General features: G+C 54.8%; 1 protein-coding gene across 9 annotated transcripts in view, besides 3 other annotated features; it reads right to left on the reverse strand.

The window, feature by feature from the left end:
- Positions 1-26,775, reverse strand: part of VAV2 (vav guanine nucleotide exchange factor 2) — a 230,431-nt gene that overhangs the window by 154,937 nt on the left and 48,719 nt on the right. For 8 of the 9 annotated variants that reach the window (NM_003371.4, NM_001411028.1, XM_017015109.2 and 5 more), the window contains exon 2: positions 22,273-22,389. In NM_003371.4, the coding sequence (NP_003362.2) occupies positions 22,273-22,389 (117 nt within the window). Of the gene's footprint in view, positions 1-22,032; positions 22,390-26,775 lie in introns of all 9 variants that reach the window. The other variant, XM_047423845.1, reaches the window with a different exon arrangement.
- Positions 2,629-3,408: an enhancer, noted in NCBI's record as "H3K4me1 hESC enhancer chr9:136784581-136785360 (GRCh37/hg19 assembly coordinates)". NCBI's record gives its function as "activates a minimal SCP1, AML or CMV promoter by ChIP-STARR-seq in naive H9 embryonic stem cells {active_cell/tissue: H9 hESC(naive)}" and the evidence as "EXISTENCE:reporter gene assay evidence [ECO:0000049][PMID:30033119]".
- Positions 10,227-10,406: an enhancer, noted in NCBI's record as "active region_29256". NCBI's record gives its function as "activates an Ori minimal core promoter by ATAC-STARR-seq in GM12878 lymphoblastoid cells {active_cell/tissue: GM12878}" and the evidence as "EXISTENCE:reporter gene assay evidence [ECO:0000049][PMID:35858748]".
- Positions 13,880-14,528: an enhancer, noted in NCBI's record as "H3K27ac-H3K4me1 hESC enhancer chr9:136795832-136796480 (GRCh37/hg19 assembly coordinates)". NCBI's record gives its function as "activates a minimal SCP1, AML or CMV promoter by ChIP-STARR-seq in naive H9 embryonic stem cells {active_cell/tissue: H9 hESC(naive)}" and the evidence as "EXISTENCE:reporter gene assay evidence [ECO:0000049][PMID:30033119]".

Raw genomic sequence — 26,775 nt, forward strand, 5'->3', positions numbered from 1 at the left:
GATGCTGGCATGGCAGAGTTGAAGAGAATGTCCCGGCTCTGCCATTGTCTGTGTGACCCATGGCCACTCACCCAACCCCCTCTAAGCCTCAGCGTCCCCGTCCATCAAATGTGAGGATTAAATGAGACACATACAAAGAAACCCGGAGCTTTGGGAACACTCAGCAAGGACTAATAAGGACGAGGTTGCCACTCTCACGGGGTCCTGTCCCCTGTACATCCCACCCTGGGTTTTCCTCTTTCTCTACTGCAAATCTCTTTGCACAAAAGCCCACCCAGCAGGCCCCAGACCTGCTCCCCACCCAGAGGCCTATGACAGCCTAGCCCTAGAGCTCACTAAATCATCTCCCTTCCCTGAGGGGCCCTATCCCCGTCCTCCTCTTCCAGGGGCCAAGTTCTTTACCTGTTCCTGATGTGAACCCATTTTCAGGAGAGGAGGTGACAAACTCAGCACTCAAAAGGCAATGGTGGAGCCCAATGGATTACCTACGCCGACAGGGACAAACTCTCAAGTCAAAGGAATGATTCTCTAATGGTGGAATGTCAAGCTGAATATTTTTTGACTTAACAGAGAGCTGGGAACCCATCATGAGAAAAACAGAAAACTCTTTCTTTTTTTTTTTTTTTGGCTAGAAGGGTTTTATTTGTTTATCGTTTCTAGTAAGTCACAAAGACGCATAACCTCCAAAGGGAAAACTTATGCCACTGAAAATGTCAACACAGCACAGAGGGGCCCTGCCCATCCCACAGAGGCCATGCAGTTGGGACTTTGCCTACCCCCTCTGGGCCTCACTCCCTGTCCTAGCCTGCCTGAGAGAGTGCCATCCTCCCCTTTATTGACGGGGAAACCAAGGCTTAGGGAGGAAAGCGACTGGCCCAGGCCGGGCATCCAGTTGAAGGACTAAGCTGGTCCCATCTGACACTGACCTATGCTGGGCCCCCAAGGACAGGACCGAACAGATCCCAGAGAGAGAACCCTGTGGACAGAAAAGGCTAGCTGGACCCACACCCTCCCGAGGGAGACCAGGACAGTGGGAGAGAGAACTGACGCAGCCTCCTGGAGACCCTGGTCCCCCGCCCTGGTCCCCCCACCCTCCCGGCTGAATCCCCAGCCCCCTAAGCCCCGGCCCATCGCCACTTCCACGAGCACAACTCCCAGATTCTCCTTCACTGACCTCCTTCCACAGGAGGTCAGCAATTTCTCATTTCCCTGCTTCACCAACTCCATTTTCCAAAGTGATTGAGACTCTAACACCATTAAACATGATTTAATTTGCTTTTCCTAATGATATGCCCACAGTATTAGGACAGCTCTCCTTTTCCACTTGAAAGGCATCTCAGGGTGGTTTCCTCCAGTGACATTAATAGGGAAACCGTCGGAAATGCTAAAGAGGACTCGGTGCCTCCAGCTCGGCTAGAAACTATTTTTAAACAAAGGAGCGCACTCTCTGCGGCGGCAGAAAAGCGAACCAGAGAGCAGGAAGGCGGCGCTGGCTCCGAGCCTTGTGTCTGCATTTCCCGCACTTTCATCTGCTGGTCCGGACCCAGGCCCAGCTGCTAGCCCGGGCTACCACCACCACCAGGAAACACTCAGAAACCCAGGCCAGGGGCCCTGGAAAGGCGGCAGACTCCTTCTCGGTGGCACCCATTGTAAGAGTCAGCCTGGAATCTCTGAGCCCCAACTAGTGCCAGGACAGTGCCAAGTCCTTCACGGCAGCTCATTCGTTCCTGCCTCACAACTCCACGTGGCTGATACTGTTATGTCCATTTCGTGGGTAAGAAAGCTGAGGCCCACAGAGTCATGTAGCATGCCCGAGGTCGCGCCTTTAATAAACACACAGGCAGACCTCAAATCCAGGCCCATCTGAGTCCAAAAGTCCCATTCTCAACCCCTGGGCTCCTAAGCCTCCCAAGAAGCAGCCGCCATGTGTGTGTGTGTGTTTGTTTGTTTGTTTGTTTGTTTTGAGACAGAGTCTTGTTCTGTCGCCCAGGCTGAAGTGCAGTGGTGCGATCTCGGCTCACTGCAACCTCCGCCTCCTGGGTTCAAGCGATTCCCCTACCTCAGCCTCCCAAGTAGCTGGGATTACAGGCGTGCACCACCACACCAGGCTAATTTTGTATTTTTAGTAGAGACGGGGTTTCACCATGTTGTCCAGGCTGGTCTCGAACTCCTGACCTTGTGATCCTCCCACCTCGGCCTCCCAAAGTGCTGGGATTACAGGTGAGAGCTACCACCCCCGGCCGCCACCATGTTTTTAAAGACTTCCCCACATCCCATCCTCACACTTTCTTCACTGACCTAGCTCCGCCCTCTCCATCAGGCCTGGCTCTGCCCACAGCCTCTCCACGCACCCCCTCACTGCTGTGCCCTGGCACCTCTGACACTCCCCAACCACTGAAAGGTAAAATCACAACTGCCTGCTGTCCTGGAAGCTTCTCTGGGGCTGGCACCTGAGTTTCACAGCAATCCTGCTAAGCTGGCACTTGTGGGAAAATAGAGGCTCAGAAAGGCTGGAGACTCTTAGGGCCCCACCGGGCTTTGAAACCAGATCCTGGGAGCTGCAGACCATAATCTCTGCTTCACTGGGTGGGGCCTCCTCACTGGACAGCCCTGGGTGAGGGGTTCCAGGAGCCCAGGTGTCCCGGCTCCCAGCCCAGGGACTCACTGTCCCCCGGGGCCAGGTCGGCTGGCAATTTCTAGGCTGTTCTAAGCCACGGGTCAAGGGCTGCCCACTCAGCAAGGGAAGCCACCAGGACACCGGGTTTTTCCTGAACATTCCTCCCATCTTGGGAGAGAAAAGATGCTCAGCCACTTTTGCCACCAGCTCAAATATTTCAGTCTCAGATCAGAGAGGAATGTAAGCCGGAAACAGCGCAGAGAGTGGGGCCAGATGGACGTGGCCAGTCTCAGGGGAGCAACACAAACAGCGCATTCTTGGCATCCGTGAGGCAGAGACATGGAAGATGGAAGGTCCCCGCTGCCCCGACTGTCCCTGCCGCCCCGGCCACCCCTGCCTCACCCACCACCCAACCGCATGTCCTCCGCGGAGCCCAGAGTCAGTTCTGCTGGACATACAGCGGCGGACCCAAGGCTGCTTTCCACGTTGCCCAGTCCTGCTCTGCCAGGCCCCAGGCATCAGTCAGCACCTGTTCTCTGCGCTGAGCCACGTGCCAGGAGGCCAGACAGGCCTGGGCGTGGGCCCCAGTGTGGACCCCATCCTCCAGCTGCACGGGGAACTGACAGGTACTCCCTCTTACCGCACACCGAGAACCAGGCCTCACTCACTCCTGCACATGCAGCCAGCAGACAGCTCAGCAGGTAGAGGGATCTGCCATCAAAGGCAGAGCTGAGAGCCTCCTTCTAGTCAGCCCCAGAAAGGCCTAGATGGAGGCCAAGGGCCAGGAGAGAGAGTCCGGGCTCTGCCTCCAGTCCACAAAGGGCCACGAAGCAGCCCTGGCCCTCACCAGGCCTCAGTGTCCCCACTGCACAGCAGTGCAAGACAGCTGAGGGCGCTTTTCGCCAGCCATGTGAGCACCTGTGCCTCTCCCTGCAGGCTGGGGCAATCCAGGGTGGCTTCATAGAAGAGGCGGTGCTGGGCTGGCCCAGAACCACACCACTGGATCACTCACTGAAAGCCCATGGTCATTAGGCAGAGGTGTCCAGTGCCCCCTCCACCTGCCCAGCTGGCCTGGGAGGCCTGAGCACTGAGGTCCCTGAGGCCACATGGAAAAGCGTCGCTGATACCAGCAGGGGAGGTGCCCCCTCCCCAGGTGTCCCTCCCTCTGAGCGCCCCACAGACCCATCCAGGACCAGGTCCCGCCCACCCCTAGGCCCCGTCACACAGAGGAGGCTTGGCTCAGCTGCTCGGCTCAAGGCGGGGGATGCTGTCTGTCACTGTCTCCCCACAGCAGGCCAGTGCTGGGCAACATACTGGCCGCCTGCTGCTGCGGCTGCCTGACGACACGGGGCCGCACCTCCACTAGTGAAAGGGGCCCCAACTGAGGTCCCTGAAGGTCATGTCCCAGGAGTCTCCAAGCACCCTGAACATCCCCAAAAGTCTAACTCATACCCCTCGGCCCACCCGCTTCCTGGCTGGCCCTGAGTGCCCTCCGTGGGGGGCCCTGCTATCGTGCGGGATCAGAAACTCTAATTGGGGATATAGCTCATAATTAGTCTTTGATTAATTAAAAAATGAGAAAACCAATTACTTAATAAATGTCGTTGGCTTAATATGCATAATCTCTGAAGCCGTGCAGCCCTGAGAGGGGAAGGCAGGCTATTCAGAGGAGTCCTTGGAGGGGAGACGGCGGGGGATACAGAGTCAGCCCACTTCCCTCCGCCTGCTGTCTCAGACACCAGAGAGTCCCCACCAGATGACAGCTCTGTGCGTGCCGGAGTGTGGGCTCTGCTCCCTTACCACTCCACCCCTGCACCTGGCCATGGCAGGAGCGCCATGTTTGCTGAATGAATGAATGAACACATGAGTGAATGAATGGCTTCTTCTTCAGACCACTGAACGTCCACAGGCCAGGTATGGTGGCTCACATCTGTCATCTCAGCACTTCAGGAGGCAGAGATGGGAGGACTGACTGGGGCCAGGAGACCAGCCTGGGCAACACAGCAAGACCCTATCTCTATTTTTCAAAAACAGTAATAAAAAAAGAAAGAAAGTTGTGTCTCACTCGAAGAAACCCAGCTTCCCAGTGCCTCTCCCTGCAGCCTCTCCCTGTGCCTCTCCCTGCAGGCTGGGGAAAGAAACTCTAATTGGGGATATAGTTCATAATTAGTCTTTGATTAAACCATGTCCCTCATAAGGGGTTAATATCCACAATATGTAAAGAACTCCTACAATAAGCCCAGATACGGCCCAGGCCCTGCTCCCCTGACCAAGTGCTCTCAGCAGCCTCTGCAGTGTGGAGGGGCTCGGCCACACACAAGGACCCCTAGCCTAAGCAAGTATAAGAAATCAACCGCGGATGAACTTGAGTTTCAGCAGAGCCCCATCCGTCATGGAAACGAACCGTCACAGTGGTTCTAATTGTGCTGGATGCGAGTGTGGTTCTGATCGTGATGGGACTGGAAGCGAGGGTGGTTCTAATCCCGTTGATGGGCAGTAGTCAGCCTGCTTGCTTCCCGGCACCGGCAGGGCGAGTGGGCCAGCTAATGGCGCACGCACAGGTGTGTTTGGCTGGTGCAGACGCCATGCATGCAGGCACGGGATGGGCCCCGCCTGCTGGACCCCAAGCCCACGCTGTTAGGGGGACCCGGACCCGGCTCCCTCTGCTTTGTTTGCCAGGTGGCAGCGGGAAGCTTCTCCAGCCCAGTCTTGGGAGGTGGTGGGGCAGCACCCACCTGCTATGCCTGGCTGGGCTAGGAGAAGGAACCCTGCCCTGCAGAAGTCCTCCCTCTGGCTCTGTCATAGCCGTGACCCCAGAGCGTCTACCTGCCTGGGCTTCACATACCCAGGAAGGGGCTTGACACCCACGGGGAAGCAGATGTGCCCAGTGGACCAAGGGGCCTGGTGATGATGATGCCAGAGTGGGGCAATTTAAATGTAGGGGCACGGGGCAGAAAAGAGCTGGGCTTGGCGGGGCAGCCCCTTCACAGTGAGCAGCTGACCTGGTCATCTGTGAGCATTTACCTTCCTGCCCATCAGGTGATGGCTTCTGGCTGCCAACCCGCAGGCTGTATATTATGAACCAAACACTTGTCCTCAGGTACGTGGCTGAGTGACTTCTCACAAAGATTCCAAGGCCATTCAGTGGGAAAGAATCATCGTTCCAACACATGGTGCTGGGAAAACTGGACAGCTATATGTAAGAGGATGCAGGTGGATCCTTATCTTACACCATATACAAAAATTAAATTAAGGCAAAATGGATCAAAGACCTAAACATAAGAGCTAAAACTATAAAACTCTTAGACAAAAACATAGGGGAAAAGTTTCATGACATTGGATTTGCAATCATTTATTGATATAACCCCACAGCACCGGCAACAAAAACGAAAACAGACAAATGAGACTACATCAGACTCTAAAACTTCTGCCCAGCAAAAGAACTTATCCACAGGGTGAAAGGCAATCTACTGAATAGAAGCAAATATTTGCAAACCATGTCTCTCATAAGGGGTTAATATCCACAATATGTAAAGAACTCCTACAACTCAACAACAACAAAATCTGATTTTAAAGTGGGCAAAAGACTTGAATAGATATTCCTCCAAAGATGATGTAAACCTGGTCAACAAGCACATGAAAACATGCTCAACATCACTAATCATTCGGGGATACAAAGCAAAACCACAATGAGCTTCAGACCTAGGCAGAGGACGGCTATTACCAAACAAACAAAAAGACACGTGTTGGTGAAGATGTGGAGAAATGGGAGCCCCGCTCACAGCTGGTGGTCATGGAAAATGGTGACGCCACTGGGGAGAACAGTACGGAGTTTCCTCAAAAAATTAGACATAGAACTACTATGCGATATGATCCACCAATTCCACTTCTGGGTATATAGCCAGAAGAATTCAAAGCAATGCAGCCAACAGACACATGAGAAAATGCTCATCGTCACTGGTCACGAGAGAAACGCAAATCAAAACCACAATGAGATACCATCTCACACCAGTTAGAATGGTGATCATTAAAAAGTCAGGAAACAATACATGCTGGAGAGGATGTGGAGAAATAGGAACGCTTTTACACTGTTGGTGGGAGTGTAAATTGGTTCAACCATTGTGGAAGACTGTGGCGATTCCTCAAGGATCTAGAACTAGAAATACCATTTGACCCAGCCATCCCATTACTGGGTATATACTCAAAGGATTATAAATCATGCTACTATAAAGACACATGCACATGTATATTTATTGCGGCACTATTCACAATAGCAAGGACTTGGAACCAACCCAAATGTCCACCAATGATAGACTGGATTAAGAAAATGTGGCACATATATACCATGGAATACTATGCAGCCATAAAAAAGGATGAGTTCATGTCCTTTGCAAGGACATGGATGAAGCTGGAAACCATCATTCTCAGCAAACTATCACAAAGACAGAAAACCAAACACTGCATGTTCTCACTCATAGGTGGGAATTGAACAATGAGAACACTTGGACACAGGGCAGGGAACATCACATACTGCAGCCTGTCGGGGGGTGGGGGACTAGGGGAGGGAGAGCATTAGGAGAAATATCTCATGTAAATGATGAGTTGATGGGTGTAGCAAACCAACAGGCACATGTATACCTATGTATCAAACCTGCAGATTGTGCACATGTACCCTAAAACTTAAAGTATAATTTTTAAAAAAAGAATTCAAAGCAGGGTCTTGAAGGCATTATTTATTTTTATTTTCATTTTTTTGAGACAGTCTCGCTCTGTTGCCCGGGCTGGAAGTGCAGTGGTATATCTCTGCTCACCGCAACCTCCAATTCCCGGGTTCAAGCCATCCTCCTGCCTTAGCCTCCCGAGTAGCTGGGGTAGACTACAGTTATGCACCACCACACCCAGCTAATTTTTGTATTTTTAGTAGAGATGGGGTTTTGCCATATTGGCCAGGCTGGTCTCGAACTCCTGGCCTCAAGTGATCCACTGGCCTCGGCCTCCCAAAGTGCCGGGATTACAGGCTTGAGCCACCACAGCGCCTGGCCCTTATTATTTGTGCTACAGTTAACAATAGCAGTAATCACAACAGCCCCCAGCCTCACCTCATCCACGGCTCCAATCTGTACACTAAGTCACCTACACTGCAGCAGGCCTGCCCCTGAGCTCAGACAAGAACACGTCCACTAGGAGGCCAGTCACCACCAGCTCTTCCCTCAAGAGGAACAGCCTTCAGGGTCCAAGGGGCAATGTCAGCTCCTGGGATCCTCATGGTGATGGTCTCCTGAGCCCTGGAAGGGAGGGGGCCTATGGGCCAGAGGGCTCAGGACTAAATGACCATGAATATTCACAGGAGCCGAAGGTGAAAACAGCCCAGTGTCCACCAACAGGTGCATAGATGGACAAGCTGTGGTCGATCCAAACAGTAAAATATGATTCAGTCACAAAAAGGAATGACCCACTGGCGGCTTCCACAGCGCAGGTGAAACCTGAAACTTCACGCTCAGTGCAAGAAGCCGACGCTAAAGGCCACATATTGTAGGATTCCACTTATATGAAATGTCCAGAACAGGCAAATCCACAGAAACAGAAAATGCATTAGTAGTTACCAGGAACTGGTGGATGGGGCAAGAGGAAATGGGATTTTGTTTCAGGGTGATGAAAAAATTCCAGAACAAGACAGAGGGGATGGTTGTACAACACTGGGAATCTGTTCGATGCTGCTGAAATGCACACTTTAAAATGGTAACTCTTATGTTATTTTATCACAATAATTTTTTCTTCCCCCCACCGGAGACAGGGTCTCGCTCTGTTGCCCAGACTGGAGTGCAGTGGCACAATCTTGGGACACTGCAACCTCCGCCTCCCGGGCTCAAGCAATTCTTCTGCCTCAGCTTCCCAAGTAGCTGGGATTACAGGTGGGTGCCACTACATCCTGCTAATTTTTTGTATTTTTAGTACAGACGGGGTTTCACCACGTTGTCCAAGCTGGTCTTAAACTCCTGAGCTCAGGCAATCCACCTGCCTCGGCTTCCCAAAGTGCTGGGATTACAGGCATGAGCCACTGTACCTGGTCACAGTAATGTTTTTTAAAGATTGAGAATCAAAAGGATCACCCAGGGCTCCAGCCCCAAAGTCCCCAGGGGCAGAGTGGCCAAGGAATCTGCATGTTTCGCCACTGCCCTTGCTGCTGGGGATCTGGGAAGCCCAGCAAGTTCACAGCCACACACTTTGTCATTCCAGAGCCGCTGCCTTCCCCAGCCCTAAGGGCCTGACCCCACAGCTGATGCCTGGTACCAGGCTGGCCGCCCACTCCTATCTACCTTCAAAAAACCAGTACTCCTGGAGAAAGGTCTTCCAGGGTGCCAAGAAATGACACTTCGTTATAATTAATTACTTACACTTTGGTATTTTTTTTTCTTTTCTCCTTCTTGGTCTCATTTGGCTTTTTTGCTGCAAACATCAAATTGTCAGGCTCCAACAGACACAATTAATGTCTTGGGGGCACTGGGGAGAAACAATTAACCATTTAAAACTTAATTAACTGTGGACATGGACCAAAAAAAAAAAAAAAAAAAAAAAAAAAAGCATGCACCAGTTGCACCAGGACCAGCTAAGAAAATGCAAGCTCTCAGCCAACGGGGTGGGGACTCACAGGAAAGAGAAGTGACAAAGACCCACCCAAGAGGTCATCCAGCCAGTCCAACCAAATGGATTGATTCCCAGATGGGGAAACTGAGGCCCAGGGAGTAGAGCAGTGACCAGTCCACGTACAATGAGAAACAATGGCAGGGCCTGAGCACACCTCCTCTGCTCCTAGTGCGTCCTGAAGCGTGGGCTGCTGCCACCACTGCCACCCAGAGGCCCCTCTTCCCAGAGCCAAGTCCTAAGAGGGAAGGGAGACAACAGGTGGGCATCACTCCCCAGGGCGCCAGCCCCCGGCAGCCCAGCAGGTGCTAAGTTATTATTACTAATTCCAACAACCTGGCTTGCAGCTTTAGATCGTGGGTCTCCCTTCTGAAAACCCCAGGATAGCACCCCAAATCTCTCTGGTAGGGCTCTCTGGCACTGCCCTAGCTCCTGCCCCTCCCAGTCTCCTACTCCAAGCAGACCTCCCTTCTAAACCTGAGCAGGCCAGGCCACCGCCACCAGCCTCTGGACCTTTGCACATGCTGCCCCTGAGACCTCCCATACCACCACCTTCACCTGGTGAACTGCAGCTCACATCTCGAACCCCAGCACCTCCTCCAGGAAGCCCTCCTTGACTAGCTCAACTGTCTAACACACCTCTGCCCACCAAAGTCCCTGTCACTCTGCACAGTAGGCAGTGGCCCCTGGCTCCCTGTCTTCCCAGGCTCCGATCATCTGAGGCTGCATGTCCTGGCACCAGCTGAGCTAAGCAGAGCACACAGAAGCAGAGAGGACCACCCTCCTGGCAACAGCCCCACTGTGGAGGGATGGGGAGGCCCAGCACCAGCCCTGGCCACAACTATAGCAACTCCCCAAACCTCAGCCATCTCAGAAAAATCAATGCAATTCTGCAAACACCGGGCAGCCTGTCACAGACACCCGCAGCACTTCTGCAGGTGCCCACCCAGCATCCAGTCCTTGCTTTACTCAGGCTGAGTCCCCCCCTACACATGCTCTTATCAGGACCTACCTTACCAGTGGTGGCAAGAACAAGGCAGGCTTCTGGAAAGCACCCCTCAGCTATTGTGCTCTCTCCTCTTTCTGGGGACACGAAACCTGAGACCAGCTAGCCCAGGAGTGGGAAACCCCTGGCACATGTACCCATGCTCTCATACCACACCCACGGCAGACAACGCTAATCAATGGCTGAGCCTCGGGACCCTTCTCAGCTGAGCCCTCCAGTCAGCCACTACCAATCGATCAGGATTAACCAAGTCTTCAATTAGGCTCCTACCTCCACTGATGTAGTAGGCACAGGGAAGAGATGGGAGGCCACCCACGGTCAGAGAACACAGCAGAGGCTCAGCCCAGAGGCTCTTGTCCCGATTCCACGGGGCAGTCTTTTCAACAAATAGGGCTGGGAAAACTGGATATCCATGTGCTAGGTGGCCCGTGGGGCCTGGCATTCACTGAAACACTGCTCTTGAGGTCTTGGCCACACACCCACACCCAGCACCCCAACTCACCCCCTGCACCCTTGCCTTTCTGTCTGGAGTTGGCCCCACTCCAAGCGGCCCCCAGATCCTCCCCTCTGCGTTTATCACTCTGGTTTCTATTCCTTCACCCCTCAGCCTTCTATAAAAAGCCAACAGTAATGACCCTCAAGCAGGTACAAGTTCCCAACCTGGCACCACATTTCCTGGCACAGGAGCAAGAATCCCTACCTCACACCACTGGCATGGAGATCAAGGGATCCACTCATGGGCCAAGGCCGCTCCCAGAGCTTGAACTCAGGTCTTGAAATCACAGCCTCCTAGGATCCTGTGAGCAGGGTTGAGGCAAAGACCCATAGGCTTCCTGGCCTGGCGCGCCAGGCTCAGCCACCTCACATGAAGCACAGTGGGCTGAGCCTGACCTCCAGGCACGCAGCTCATCAGACCTGTAGGGACTCGGCTACCAAAATTGAACCACCCTCCACCCTTGTCCAGTGTGAAGTTAATGACGGGCATGGCTCCCGCCTGGAAAGGAAAGCAGAGAAAAACCTCTCCCATCCCCAGTTATAAAACGGCGGGTCAGCATCCGATGGGCTTACCGACTCCGTGTGTGTGTGTGTGTGTGCGTGCATGTGTGTATGTCTGTGTGTGTGCGTGCATGTGTGTGTCTGTGCCCATGTGCAGCATATCTGGTTGTCAAGTTCATCTGAAAGTGGGTGGGTGAATAACGTCCTGAAATGACAACAACTAGCAGATAAAAGAGGAAATGTTTTCAAGCAGAAACTCTGAAGGCCTTTGCCAACAGCCCCTGCGCCGGGCTCTGCCGGGAGCCTGAGGCAGCTCCCCACCCCAGCGAGGAGCGACTGCATTTTAATAAGTAATTAGTGTGGAGTGGATGCTGCTACAAAGACTAGCACGTCTCACTGCCAGCATTAAGGCAGGGAGTGCAAATGAACTCACCGCAGCATTAGCATCTCAGAGTCATCAGACCGACTGGCAGAAAGGCCTCGGGTGAGCACAGAGTCTTCTGCACTCAGCAAATTAATGAACAAATACGAAGAGGAAATGAACAAACACATGCAGCCTCGGGGCCTGGGTGTGGAGATAAGGGGTGCTGGATCAATACCCCAAGGTTACTGCTGTGTTCTCCCCTGGCCAGACAGAGCCTGCGGGACACATTCATCAACGCAGATGTAAAATGGAGAAATCAATGACATGGCTGAGACGGCATCTGGATACACTTGTCCAGCCCCAGACGCAGGGCAGGTGGATGGTGGGTGTGGGGCAGGATACACTGGCCGGGTGAGGCTGGCACTCCAGGCCACTGGAATGGCCATCAGATGCACCCCTGCCCACTGCCAGGGTCATCACCCACGTGCTCAAACGCGGCTGGTACAATCACAGCACCACTCCCAGGAGCTTCCTCACGAGACCCAGCCCATGAAAACAGGCAGCGGCACCATCTGGAATCTCCCGCCCACAGCCCTCGGCATGGGGGAGGCAAATCTTTAGACCCATTTTACAGATGGGGAAATGACAGCTGCGAGACCTGAAGCAACCTGTGGGACAAACTGGGTCCTGATGACGGCCTGATCCTCGGCATCACAACCTGTCCCCAGCCCTCAATGGTGTCTTCGTGGGTCCACTCTCACCTGGCCCCAGAAGCACCAGCAGTCTCCCACCTGAGCCCTCAAGTTCAAGTCCGGACAGTGGTGGGTGGGTTTGTGGTGGGGGAAGGGGCAATGGCAGGGGTTGTGGCAACAACCGGGGAGCAGATGGGAAGTCCAGGGTGACAAACTGGGGTCCCCCATTGTGCCAGCTCCTGGTGACTGCCAGGTGCTAGGGTGCTGGGGTGCTGTGCTGACAGGTGGGAGGTGCCAGGATGGATTCGAGGTGCCTGCCCTGGCTCAGGTGGATAGAGTGACAGCACATGCCAGGAGGTTCCACGGGGGTAGGGGGACCCAAGGCTGATAGACAAGGGTCCCAGGCAGAAGAGGAGAGGAATAGAAGTGGTGAGGGAGGGGTCTTACTCCAGCAAGGAGGAAGGGCCCCTCTGCCTGCACGCAAAAGCCAAGGGGCCTCTCAGCTGCTGACAAACCCAGGGCCAGAGGGACTGGGATGACCACAGCTGCCCGTCCATCATCTGCAGCAGGTGCACAGCCGACTCCCTCATCCTGGACGTAGTGATGCGGCCTGTCCCCACCACCAGCGACCCCAGTGGCCTGTCCCCACTGCCAGTGCCCCCAGCGGCCTGTCCCCACCGCCAGTGTCCCCAGGCCCAACTCAAAGGAGGCAGGTTTCCTCAGCTGTGACGGATCAATGGTTTCCAACTATGTTTTTACCCTCTTCAGAACCCTTTTTTTAAGCAAAATGTCAGCAAAATGCCACATAAAAAACAGATAAAAGTGGAGCTATTCCGATTCAGCAGGGCCCTGCCCTCCCTTCCTCCTCCCAGCCTCTTGAGAAGGCCCAGAGTGGTCTGAGATTCTCAGCTGAAGGGAACCATCCGTACCTGCACTGACGCCGTCAGCACCGACACCGGTGGTCATTGCACTGCATCCTCTATAGACTGCTGGTCAGCGCCCTCCCCTCCAGGGTCAGGCCTTTTACTTCCTCTCCCCAGACAGCCCCACCGGCCTCCACTCTGCCTCCTGGCCTCCTCTCTGCCTCCCGGCATCCTCACTGCCTCCCGGCCTCTTCACTACCCTCCCTGCCTCCACCCTGCCTCCTGGCCTCCTCACTCCCTCCTGGCATCCACACTGCCTCCCAGCAGCCTTGCTGCCTCCTGGCCTCTTCACTACCCTCCCTGCCTCCTTGCTGCCTCCTGGCCTCCACACTGGCTCCTAGCATCCTCACTGTCCTCCGGCATCCTCATTGCCTCTTGGCCTCTTCACTGCCACCCGGCCTCCTCTCTGCCTCCCGGCATCCTGGCCGTCTTCCGTGCGCCTTCCATACAGACAACTGTGCTGCGTGCAACAGCTGCCTTGCTAGTCAGAGGGAAGAGGGCACAGCCGAGCAGATAAAAACGGGGCCCCTGTCATCAGCAGGACCTGAGGATGCCCCCAGCTCCACTGTACCGCAGAGCACACGTGAGATGCATCTTCTCTGTGCCTGTTTCCTTCCTCACTTCTTAAGGTCCCTGCAGGGTGCAGGTGCTCGTGGACATAAAGGTCCAGTAGCCACAAGTGATTACTCCCGTGGAGGAGGGAGGGGCAGCAGGAGAGGCCGGCACTCAGGTGACCGGTGGTGTGCGTCCAGCGTCGCCAGCTGGCACTTCAGAATCTGTAAGCAGCCATGGAGCCACCCCCAGACAGTGCTGAGAGCCAGTTTTAACTGCCTCAGAAGTCTCTGAGCCTCCCAAAATGCTTTAATGAATAATAAATAGGAGAATTAAGCCCGTTTATTGGAAGGTGCGCGCTGCTCTTTAACTCGAGCAAGAGAAGCGGCCTAGCGATTTCCTCTGGGAAGGTTCATTCCGCCCCGAGTGAGGCTGGAGTGAAGTGCACTGCCCAGCCAGCACCGCGGGTTCCTGGGGCCAGGCAGGGTGGCCTGGGCTGGGACACCAGAGAAGCAGCATCAGACTTCACTCGGAAACCTGTCCCCGCACAGGGCAAGGTGCCATCAGGGCAGGCCCTGCTGGGCCAGAGCTGAGTAAGGGCCTGCAGGAGAGCGGGAAGGCACCAGCAGCTCTGGGGAGAACCTTCCAGGCAGGGGGCAGCCAGAGAGCCCAGCAGCAGGAGGGGCTGAAGCAGCTCCACAGCAGCGAGGGGGAGCAAGGGGCAGGGACCAGGGAGGACAGAGCTTTCCCTCTGACAACCAGAAGCACCTGCGCCCAGGGGGCCCCCCTCCTGCAGGCAGGGAGCACCCTGTGCTGCTCAGGAGAAACACGTCCTTCCCTCTTCCCTTCTCCCCTCCTTTCTTCCCTCCCTTCTGCCCAGCTGCCTTCCCTGTCCTCTGCCCAGAAGTGCAGCCCTCACCTCCTGAACGAGTCTGTCCCTTTGTCCCCTGACCTAGGGTGCAAGTGCACACTGTCAATGGCAACTATCCCCACAAAGGGAGAGAGCAACAGCATCCTCATCACGCTCTGCTCACCCCGCTCCAGCCCTAACAAAGAGCTGCCTGTGACCCGGTGCCCAGGAGGCTCTGATCAACAGGGGAAGCGGGACCACTGTCCTCACGTCACAGGAGAGGACATCAGGCTCAGGGAAAGCCACCTGCCCAGGGCCCCGCGAAGGAGCTGGACGGATCCCAATGACAATGCCATGACCAGGCACCTGGGGAGGGAGGACAGCGAGGGTTTGAGGACCCAAGAAACTCACAGCCATGTTACCGTGCACCAGTTGCTTAGGTGGGGATAACACAGGCGACACCACGGCACATGGTAAACAGTCAGTGCGCTGCCGGGGTGCCTTCCTTCCCTCCCGCAGACCTGTGCTCAGTCCCAGCTCGCAATGAGATCAGAGTCCCTACGGTCGGAACTATCATGATCTGCAGAGTCCAGGGACCAGAATCTCAGAAGCAAGCCACAGAAACCCCGCAGCCTCACCAGAATCCTCCCTCCAAATGCCCGACCGGATTCCAAGCTGGGGCAAACCAGCCCCTGGAAGAAGCCGCCAGAGCTGGCGACCCATGGGCTTCTCCACACTCCTTCCCAGCTGGGCAACTGGACAAACCGCCCAGACACAGGGCACAGAGGAAAACAGGAAAGGATCTACAGGCCGTGGCGGGGAGCAGGGCCAACGGCTCCCATCAGCAAGGGCTGCGGACTCACCCTTCACGCTCGGCCATAACTCGGCCCCAGCACGCCCACCCCGGGCAGCACAGGAAGCCGGACACAACTTATTTGAGCCAAAACCTAATCTCTTTAATGCAACCCTTTGAAAAAAATACCAGGAAAGCAGCCAGAAGAGAAACACTTCCGGAATAAACCTTCTGGATCCTTTAGTTCCTACTGGAACTTGCGGGGTGAGTGAAGAGGAAGAAAATGCTAATAAAAATGACTAGGACCTGCCGTTCATTTTTTCACCGAGTCCTTTACAGCAACACCTCCAAGGGGACAGTCTCAAGCTTCATTTGATCCCTGCAGAAACAAAGGCTCAACGAGACCAAGTATCTACAGAGTCCAACTCGCGTCCAGGTCTGACGGAAGCTTTGCTCTCACCCGCCTGCCTCCTCCAGGGCCCGCCTGGCTCCACCGAGCCTGGATGAGAGGAGGCACCAGAAGGCAGGTGCAGTGGACCACCTGGCAGGCTTCCCAGGGCTCCAAAACCTGGAGGGTTTCCAGGGGTCCATCTGCCTGCTGCCCAGGTCTCCCCAGGTGGCAGGGGCCAGGAGCAGAGGGAACCAGGCTGACTCATGGTGGGTCCCCTCCCAATGCTCCTCCTGGGTTAAGGAAACCCTCTACACCTGTCCCAAAGGGAAGGCAGAAGAAAAAACCCAAGGGCCAGTGGGCGGAGACCGCCCTTAAGCAGCAAGTGAGGGCCATGAGCAGGGAAAACACTGGTCAAACCAGCCTCCACATGGGGCCATCCCTGGGAGAGGGAGACAGTCTCATTCACGTTAGTGTCCCTTTAACACGTGGAATGATCCTTTCCATGATAAAATCACAGAGGAAAGACTCCAGTGTCCAAGGCTGATTGTGGGCCAGAGCCAGCAGGCCTCGGGGCCAAAGCTCCAGAGTTTTTACTTTCTCACTCCTCTCTCCTACCATTAATTGCTCAGCAGCTAATCTGAGGGTCCCTGTGAGGGCAAAGACTACGTGAGTCTCCTCATTTTAACTCCAGCATACTAAGTGCTTACTAAATACGTGGTAAATTATATGCTTAACAGAATGATAGATGGATGAATGAACTAATGAATGGGTGGATGAATGGTGGATGGATGGATGAATGGATGGGTGGATGGATGAATGGATGAGTGGATGGATGGATGGATGGATGGTGAATGGATGGATGAATGATGGACGAATGGATGAGTGGATGGATGGATGGATGGTGGATGGATGGATGGATGGTGGATGGATGGACAAATGGATGGGTGGAAGGACGAGTAAATGAGTGGGTGGATGGATGGATGGATGAATGGACGGATGGGTGGATGGGTGGACGGATGGATAGATGAATGATGGATGGATGGATGGATGGTGAGTGGGTGGATGGATGGATGGTGGATGAATGGATGAGTGGATGGATGAATGGATGGGTGGATGGGTGGATGGATGGACGGATGGTGGATGGATGAATGATGGATGAATGGATGAGTGGATGGATGGATGGATGGTGGATGGGTGGAAGGATGGGTGGATGGATGGATGGATGAATGATGGATGGATGGATGGGTGGATGGATGGATGGATGATGGGTGAATGGATGGATGGATGGATGGATGGTGGATGGATGGATGAATGGATGGAAGGATGGGTGAATGGGTGGGTAGATGGATGGATGGATGGATGGACGGATGGGTGGATGGGTAGATGGATGGACAGATGAATGATTGATGGATAGATGGATGGTGAGTGGATGAATGGCTGGATGGATGGATGATGGATAGATGGATGGATGGATGGATAAATGGATGGATGAGTGAATGAACGAATAAATGAATGCTTTTTGTCTTCCCAAGGAATGACTCCCACAACATGAGAGACTTGGGGAGCCGGGAGGCAGCTGTTTAGAAAATGAATGACAACAAACCCAGAGCCCAGACAAGATCTGAAACACCACAGACCTCCTTAAATAATAGGGGAAACGGCATTTCCTAAACCAGCCAGAGACACCAGCCAGCTGTGATGGTGAATTTTAGGTGTCAACTTGACTGGATGAAGGAACACCTGGAGAACCGGGGAAGCATTGTTTCTGGGTGTGGCTGTGCGGGTGTTTCCAGAGGAGACTGGCCTGTGAGCAGGTGAGGAGATGCCCTTCCTGTGGGCGGCACCATCCAAGCAGCTGGGAGCTCAGACAGAACAAAAAGCCAGAGAAAATGTGATTCCCTCTCCCTCTCCTGGAGCTGGGACTCTTGGTCTCCTGCCCCCAGACATCAGAACTCCAGGCTCTCCAGCCTTTGGTCTCCAAGACTTGCCCCACAGGTTCTCAGGCCTTTGGCCTTAGACTGAAGATCACACCATTGCTTCCCTGGTTCTGAGGCTTTGGGACTGGGGCCAAGCCCTGTCACCCCCGTTCCTGGGTCTCCACCTCGCAGAAAGCCTGCTGGGGGCCCTCCACCTCCACAGTCGCGAGAGCCGATGCTCCTAATCGGCCCCTCTTGTCTGCCTCTACCCGGCTGCTTCTGTCTCTCTGGTCTCTGGAGGGCCCTGACTAATGCGCCGGCCAGTCGGTCAGGCTCCTTTCAGCCCTGAATGCTGTGAATGTAAGTAGGAGCCGATCAGACAAGGAGTAAGAGAGTCAGCTCTGCCCCTGGTAGCCCTGGAGTCCCCAGCCCCACACCCCCTCGGTTACCCCTGACCAGCCCCACCCACCCCAGACGACAGTCAGTTCTGACTGCAGAGCTTTGTGTTCTGGGGAGAAACAGCTGCCACCCCCGTCCTGGGCAGGCCAAGGGTGGGAGGAACAGGGGGAGGGCACGCAGCCATATCTTCATGGTCTGAGGTTGCTGGAGGCCGCCGAGCTCATTTGGAATGGCCAGGGCGTCCCAACTGGGCTGAGCTCATGAATGACAAAAGATGAATCTGGACGTGTAGGAAACGCTCAGTAAATGCCCCGAAAAAATGAAAGGGGCATTCGCTCTTCATCTCTGTGGCCAGAGGGACCGATGCATGGAATGGCCAAGTAAGGAACCAGGCCTATCAGCCCCGCCCTCCACACCGGCTCCTTGTGGTCAACAAGCTGGGAGTCCGGGAGGCCAGAGACCAGCAGCCTCGGCAAGTCCCCTCCCTGCTCTGACCCTTCCTCCCCTCTGTCCACGGCAGGGACTGCAACAAATACGCCCCGGCCCAGCAAGAGGTCCCCAGGAGTCTGAGCACCTGGGCAGACCAGGCCGCAGGGAGGAGCTGGGCTTTTGCTTGTGTTTTGTTTTTCCAGAACACCTGTCCCGGAGAAGCCAGGAGGCGCTGGCAGAGCAGAACCGTCAGGCTCCAGACCGTGGTGAACGTCCCAGCTCCCCAGCCTCCGCTGGCCCCAGGCCAGACTCCATTTGGAAGTGCTGACCACAGCTTGACCACGGTAGGAAAAACATCCAGGGAAGGAAGCAAGCACCGCCACAGAGACAGGGCTGGCGGGGCCGAGGCCAGGCCCACGCTGAAGGGCAAGTGCGGGTTCCGGCTCCATTGCTCCCAAGTGTGCCAGCACCCAGCACACGGTCCCAGGGGGCCCGGTCCCCAGCCAGCTGTCCCTGACACACCACAGGCCACATTCACGCGGGCTCCAGGAGGCAAAGGGCATGGCTCAGATGCGGAGACCAGAAGCAGCAAGGCCCCAGAGTGGCGGGGCCCTGGGGCACGTGCGGTGCTGAGACCCTGCACACATGGCTTGACCCGCTCAAGGGAACTTTGAGGGTGGGAGTGTCACCGCCATTTTACAAATGGGACTTGGAGAAGCTGAGTCACTTGGGCGAGGCCGCACCCTGGGATGGCAGGGCTGGGACTCAAAGCCAGCCTGCCGGGGTCCAAGTCCATGTGCTCAGCCACCTGCTCTGTCTCCCAAAGGTGCAGCCATTGCGTCTTTTTTTTTTTTTTTTTTAAGACAGAGTCTCACTCTATCACTCAGGCTAAAGTGCAGTGGCGTGATCTCTGCTCACTCCAACCTTCACCTCCTGGGCTCAAGCAACTCTCCTGCCTCAGCCTCCCAAGTAGCTGGGATTACATACGCCCACCAGCACACCCAGCTGCTTTTTGTATTTTTATTAGAGACAGGGTTTCACCGTGTTGCCCAGACTGGTTTCGAACTCCTAACTTCAAATGATCCGCCCACCTCAGCCTTCCAAAGTGCTCAGGTTACAGGCGTGAGCCACCATGCCCGACCCAGCCATTGCATCTTTATGTATAAAATAGTGGAGAGAAAAACAGTAGGCACTGCCATCTGTGTGTGGAAGTCTGGACTTGTTTTAAGCGACCGGTGGGGGGCGGCAGGAGCAGCAACCTGCACTTCACAAACACCTCCTGTGGACCTCATCCAGTCTCCTCAGCTCAGCCCGGGGGTCTGCACGGTGACATCACCTCCATTCCCAGCACCCCACACCATGACTCATGGTCCAAACCCGCCGTCTACTCCCAGCTCCCCATGAGAGATGCCACAGCTTGGCCAGCACCACCACTGACCGCCACGGTGAGACATGGGGAGACCAGAGGCCAGCATGACAAGAAGCCCCTTCTGCAGCCCCTCAGAGCCGCAGCCGCCTCACTGGAAACCATGGACGATGACAAGGGCTGCCCATTTGCAAACTGCTTGGCCACACAGCTGGTAAGTTGAATAATGAGAGTTTAATCCAAATTTATGTACGTCTTACATCACTGCATTCCGCCATAGCAAATTAAAAGCAAAATGAAATTATATACTGAATACGCTGCATTTTAACTGTTGGCCAAGAAGTAGGTTTGGCCAGGGTTTTCCTGTATTTTTCTCTTTACAGTTATCATAAATACCAGTTGAGTGTCTAAGTATGTGTGTACATGTGAGACTGTGTGTGTGTGAATGTGTGTGATATGTCCGTGTTGGGGGGCTGTCCATGGATGTCTGTGTGAATGTGTATGGGTGACTGTATGTCTGTGAATGTGTGTGTGTTAAGTTGTGCATGTCTGGGTGTGGGTGTGAACATGGAAGACGGGTTCAAGTGTGTGTATGTGTGTTTGTGTGTGGTGTGTCCATGGATGTCTGTGTCAATGTGTGTGTGTGAGACTGTATGTCTGTGTGTGTGTGTATGTGAGCTGTGTGTGTCTGAGTGTGAGTGTGAACATGTGTGGGGTGGGTGCAAGAGTGTGTGCGTGTGAGTGTGTGTGCGCGTGTGAGAGTGTGTGTGAGAGTGTGTGTGTGTGTGTGTGTTCTGAAGGACCTTCACTAAGTCCAGAACCATCAGCCTCTCCATTACCCAGGGTGCTGCAGGCAAATTCATCTCTGCTGCTTGCAGGGAAGGAACAGGAGAGAGTTCCAACTCATTTCAAAACAAATCTGTAGGAATTGAGAAGCCACTTACAGGAAAGAAACAGGCCCAGGCCATTCAAGCCTCCCTGACTCCAGCCCAGCAGGCAAGCCCCTGGACAGCAGGACCCACAGGCCTCAACAGGGCATCAAACTCCCAGGCAGGTGCGCTGCTGCAGGGAGGGGGCTCAGTGAGTCATTTAAGGGACACAAACTTCTAAGGATTCGATGATTACACAGAGATGGGCTCATGAAGAGGTCCCCAGATCTCACGTCTGGAGAATTCCAGGAGCGAGGAAGGGAAGCGCCAAGCCTGGTGGCTCCGGGATCGCCCTTGTTCCAGGTCCTGACCTGAGGCCGTGCAGCACTTCCACACGCTCCTCTCAGAACCGACTTCTCAGCATGCGCCACTGCAAACCCAAATTCCCTCTGCGCCTCACAAATCATGTATTCACAGAGCATTTCCTTAGATACCAAGTCCCTGATAATGATGCTCAAATAAACCAGGCAGTAAATATCTTGTTACTTCCCATCAGCAGGTGGAAATCCATTCTCCCGGTGGTCCAGGAAGCAGTGTCTCCTAGAGGCAGCCCAACAGCAGGCGGGGGCCTGGGGCCTCCTCGGCCACCGTCAGCACCTCCGGCGTCCAGCCCCGAATCCATCAGGAAGCTATTGAGACCCTGATCCCATCCATTTAAAAAGAGTAACCGTGGAGCTGCTGGGCTCTGGAAGGCAGGTGGCCCCTGCGTCCCTCTGTACCCAGGCTCACCAGGAGGCCACCAATGAACTACAGCCTCCCAGGGCCTTTGCACCTGCCAGCCTCAGGGTCCCCTCATGTGCACCAGCCCGGCTCCTGCATGCAGGACTGGTGCCATGTGAGGCTTCCTGAGAACACAGAGACACTTCCCGGGGTCACCACTGGAGAATACCCCCTCTTTGCCCAATACCTTCCCAGAGTCAGAGACAGTTCTGCTTGTCCCGGGGTAACCGAGATAATCCATTTACAGAGCACACAGTAGGCGCTTTCCCCTCCTCATCTCCCCAGCCCCTTAGGAGGTGGTACTAACTTCGACCCATTCTCAGAGGAAGAATCAAGATTCAGGGCAGGAGGTAAATGCTCAGCATCCCCTGGCTAGAACCACAGGGCCAGGGTTGTCTGCACTCTGCTCTTCCCCCACCCGCCTGAATTCGTCACGCCTGGCCTCACCATGACTGGAGAGAGAAAGGGGCCATCCCGTTGTCCCAGCCCCGACACACAAATCTGGCTTTCACACCTTCCTGTTTGTAACAGGACCTGCCTGCACCTCCCGGACATGAGGGTGCAGAAATCCACTGGCTCTGTGTTGGAGCCAATCAGGCTGCTCCATGGATCTGGCCCACCTGCCGCTGAGCCGGCAAATCGGCCACCACAGCTGAGCGACCGAGGCTGGAGAGAGTGACTGCTCACCTTTCCAAAGTCTCGCACATCGAAGAGGTCAAAGGGGTCAAACAGCTCGCTGTTCCTTAATCCAAATTTATCGTGGCAGACTTTCAGGAAGGTGCGTATGTTCTTCAAACACAGAAACTAAAGGGAAAAAACAAAGGGAGGGCAAGGAAAAACTTATTAAAACTGTAAGCTCTGTAAAAACCGTAACAGCAACAGCAGCAAGCTCTGGCTTCCGTGCGCCAGCACATCCAAGCTCATTCCTGTTTTCTCAAGGAGGAAATGGGCTCAGAGAGATGACGAAACCCCCCGTCCCAAGGCTGGGGGGTGAGAAGCCAGGCCTGGATGGAAGTGGAAGCAGGCAGACCAGCTCCACATCCGAGGGTGTAGCCACCACCGCCCCCAGCCTTCTCATCACATAGCTGCAAAACCCCCAAGGCCTGTGCATTCAGAAGACACGCCACTCCCCGTAACCGTAGGTCAGGGCGGCAAGGCAGCACCCTGGGCCCTCCATGACCATCCAACCCAGCTCTCCCAGGCGCACCCAGCACATGTCGAGGCCGACAGTCACAGCTGGGGCAGAATATGCAAGCCTTAAATCAACAAGAATGGATGGCGCATGCTCACGTGGGCACGTGCACAGGCGTGCGTACATACACGAGGCTTCTGACAACACCAACACATCCTTCCTAATCACGGGTGACAAAGCCAACAGCCAGGGGCCACCCCCAAGAAGCCACGGAGGACCCAGAGAGTGGCAGGTGCCAACTACAGTGGAAGGGTGGAGGGAGCACAAAAGCCAGAATTCCCAAATCAATGCATGGGTCATCTCCTCTCTGCCCACTGCCAACCAGTGAGCTCTCGGCCCTCACTGCGCCTGACGTGCCACAGGGGCGGAAGGCTTGGCTGGGGCGGAACGGCCATCTGCCCAGTCCTCGTGGAGAAACAGCTTGGTAAGGAAACTTATAAGGCAGCAGGTGAGGTGGCCCGGGGGGCACGCTCTGGAATCACTCGGGCCCCAGGTTGGAATCCTGTCTGCTGACTCCAGCAGGGAGACCAGGGTGAGTGGTTATGCCAGGCCTGGTTTTCTACCGCCACCTGCCTCACGGGATTAATCATGTGCCCTGATGACCAGAGTGGGCACTGGGGTGTGGGAGCCATCAGCCCCCCAATCCAGCTCAGCACGGGGATTCGCGAGGGGAGGGTGTGGCACACACAGCCCAATAAGAGCCCAGGATTGTCATCCTCATCAATAACCGTCCCCTATGGACAAACTGCCCAGCTCCAAGAGCAGTTCAGAGAGCCTGTCCCTGCTCACTGGAAATTTAGACAAATGGACAGACTTAGACATAGTGCACGTCAGAATCAGAGCCTAAGAGCGTAAACCAAGCAGCACTGAGAACGCCCTGGGAGCGGAGGGTCCCCCAGCCAGGACATACGCCCCTGCTGACCCCTCACCCTGCCTCACAGCAGGCAGTGCTCACCCCAGCCCCTTCTGCCTCAGGCCACTCCTCCCATCCTGGCAGGGGTCGGCTGCTGTTCATAGACAACAGACTCATCTGTTTTATCCTAGAGTCCCTCTCTGTCCACGTGCGTGTGTGTGTGTGTGTGTGTGTGTGTGTGTGTGTGTTTCTGAACACTCGAGATTAACTACAGTAATGACACTCCTTTATCCCTAAATACCTGAGTGTGTAATTCCTAAGAACAAGGACATCCTCTTCCATAATCACAGTACCTACAGCAAAACCAGGAAATTAACATGGACACCACACGGTTATCTTATCTATAGACCTTACTTGCATTTCCCTAATATATAAAGGACAACCAAAATGTCCTTATAGCTAAAAGAAAAAAAAAAAAAAACTGGCCCAGGTTCCAATATGGGATCACACACAGTTTCTGCTGCCATGCCTCTTCAGTCTCCATTAATCTGGTACAGTCCTCCAACAGAACTTTCTGGAATGACAGGAACGTTCTATCCATCTACCGTCCAATAGGGCAGCCACTAGACACCTGTGCCCACCAAACACTCAAATGTGGCTAGTCCGGCTGGGCGCAGCAGCTCACGCCTGTAATCCCAGCACTTTAGGAGGCCGAGGCGGGTAGATCACTAGAGGTCAGGAGTTCAAGACCAGCCTGGCCAACATGGTAAAACCCTGTCTCTACTAAAAATACAAAAATTAGCCGGGCGTGGTGGCGCACACCTGTAGTCCCAGCTACTCGGGAGGCTGCGGCAAGAGAATCATTTGAACTCAGGAAGCGGAGGTTGCAGTGAGCCGAGATCGCACCACTGCACTCCAGCCTGGGTGACAGAGCGAGACTCCGTCTCAAAAAAAAGAAAAAAAAAAGGTGGCTACTGAAAACCTAGATTGCTAATTTTAAGTTAAATTTTAAAGCTACATGTGGCTAGTAACTGCTAGCTTAGACAATGTGAGTCTAAAACACTCCATGATCTTTGTTTTTCACGACCTGTTAATTCTGAAGAATACAGACATGAAAGGACAAATCCTGTGTGAGTCCACTTTTTTTTGGGGGGGGGGGGGGACGGAATTTCGCCCTTGTTTCCCAGGCTGGAGTGTAATGGTGTGATCTCGGCTCACCACAACCTCTGCCTCCCAGGTTCAAGCGAATTCTCCTGCCTGAGCCTCCCGAGTAGCTGGGATTACAGGCACGCACCACCATGCCCAGCTAATTTTTGTATTTTTAGTAGAGACGGGGTTTCTCCACGTTGGTCAGGCTGGTCTCCAACTCTTGACCTCAGGTGATCTGCCTGCCTCAGCCTCCCAAAGTGCTGGGATTACAGGCGTGAGCCACCACGCCAGGCCGTGATTCCACTTTCATGAGGCCCCTGGAGTCGTCAGATCCACAGAGAGAAAGGAGAATAGTGGGCGCCCTCGAAGGGCTGAGCGATGGGGTGGTTTCGTGGGGAACAGAGCTCTTGCTTGGGAAGACCAGAGAGTTCTGTGGATGGTGGTGATGGTGCTTGCCAACAAAGTGAATGTGCTTGACCCTACTGGACGGTGCTCTAGAGGAAAACCGGAGAAGACACTGAGTTTTACGTTATGTGTATTTTACCACAATACAAAGATTAATTAGAAGAGACACAGAGAGACATGGAGACACAGACCCACGAGGAGTGCATGTGAGATGGGCCCCTTTCCTTAGCAACTGGGAGTGACACAGCTGTGGGCCAGCCACTCCAAGGGTGGCCACCGTTGCCAGAAGCGGGAGAGGGCGTGGGACGGGCTCTCCTCCGTGGCCCCACGAAGGAGCTGTTGCTGCCACACACAATTGATTCAGGCTGCTGGCCTGCAGCCCTGGGAACAATAAGGTTCTGCTGCTTAAAGCCACCACGGTCGATGGTGCTTGGTTAGGACAGCCCCAGACACTGGAGCTGGGAGCAGGCCTGAGCCGGGGCAGGGGCTACGCCCTCTCGCTCATCTGCGCGGCTGCATGTGCTGCAGCTTCCAGCCTGGCGTGACTATTTTTTGAATATGGCTTGTCTGTAATTTCCACTAAGCATTTATTTTCATTCTTCCTCAGCCTCCCAAGTTTAGAGTTAATTACACAGATCCCAACCATAATCACAGCCGGCCAGGCCCAGGCTTCCTTTCGGGCACAGGATGGGCCCAGCGCACCCCTTTCCCATGGGCCCAGCAACTGCTGTGCCTGGCCCGGCCCCACCCGTGGCCACTCTGGCCACCCTAACCTTTAAGAAGTCCTCCTGGTGCAGCTCTGGGCCCAACCCAGGGTGGTCTCTGCAAAACTGAGCCACACAGGCTGATGCAGATGGCAGGGACAGGGACTGCACGGACGGGGATGGCAGAGACCGGGACAAAGCCTGGGGGCCACGTCAGGCTCCACCTCGAGGGAGGCCACACACGGCCCGGCCTCCCTTCAGGGAGCATTTCCTGTGCTTTCTACAGTTCATCCCATTTTCCACAAAGGGAAACTGAGGCACAGAGAGTTAAGGACGTGGGCACCTGACCAGAGGGCGGCAGCGCCAAGAATGAAGCCATGTCGACATCGGCCAGGGCAAAGGCCCTCTGAGAGGACGGGCGTGTGGGCAGGCACCAGGTCCCTCCTGCCATCCCTGTACCCCTTTCCTCAGTGGCCTGGTTTGCAAGGTCTGTGGTCGCTCTGGAGCCAATCAGAGCCTCAAGGTCCAGGTTCTAGACAGAGACCCTGACGGTTGGCAGGGACCGGACCCAAGGCTGAGGTTGCTGCAGGTGCATCATGGCCACAGGGGCCCACTGAGGACACAGGCCGAGGGACAGTGGCAAAGGGAGGCCCAGATGGTGGTCAGCGCCAGGTGAAAAGTCCCCTGTCCACGCCCAAGCTATGAAGGCTGGCTTCAGCTGTCACCTGTGGCTGCAGGAGCAAGCGGCATTCTTCTCTCTCATTGATCCAACCTGGCCTTCGGGACCCCCCACAAAGGCAGCCACTGCTTCCCCCAGCATCCTGGACTTTAAGTCCAGCTGAGTGGCCACAGCAAGGGTCTGTCCCCAGAAAACAAGCCCTGTGACA

Source organism: Homo sapiens, chromosome 9, assembly GCF_000001405.40.
Source record: "Homo sapiens chromosome 9, GRCh38.p14 Primary Assembly".
Lineage (NCBI taxonomy): Eukaryota > Metazoa > Chordata > Mammalia > Primates > Hominidae > Homo > Homo sapiens.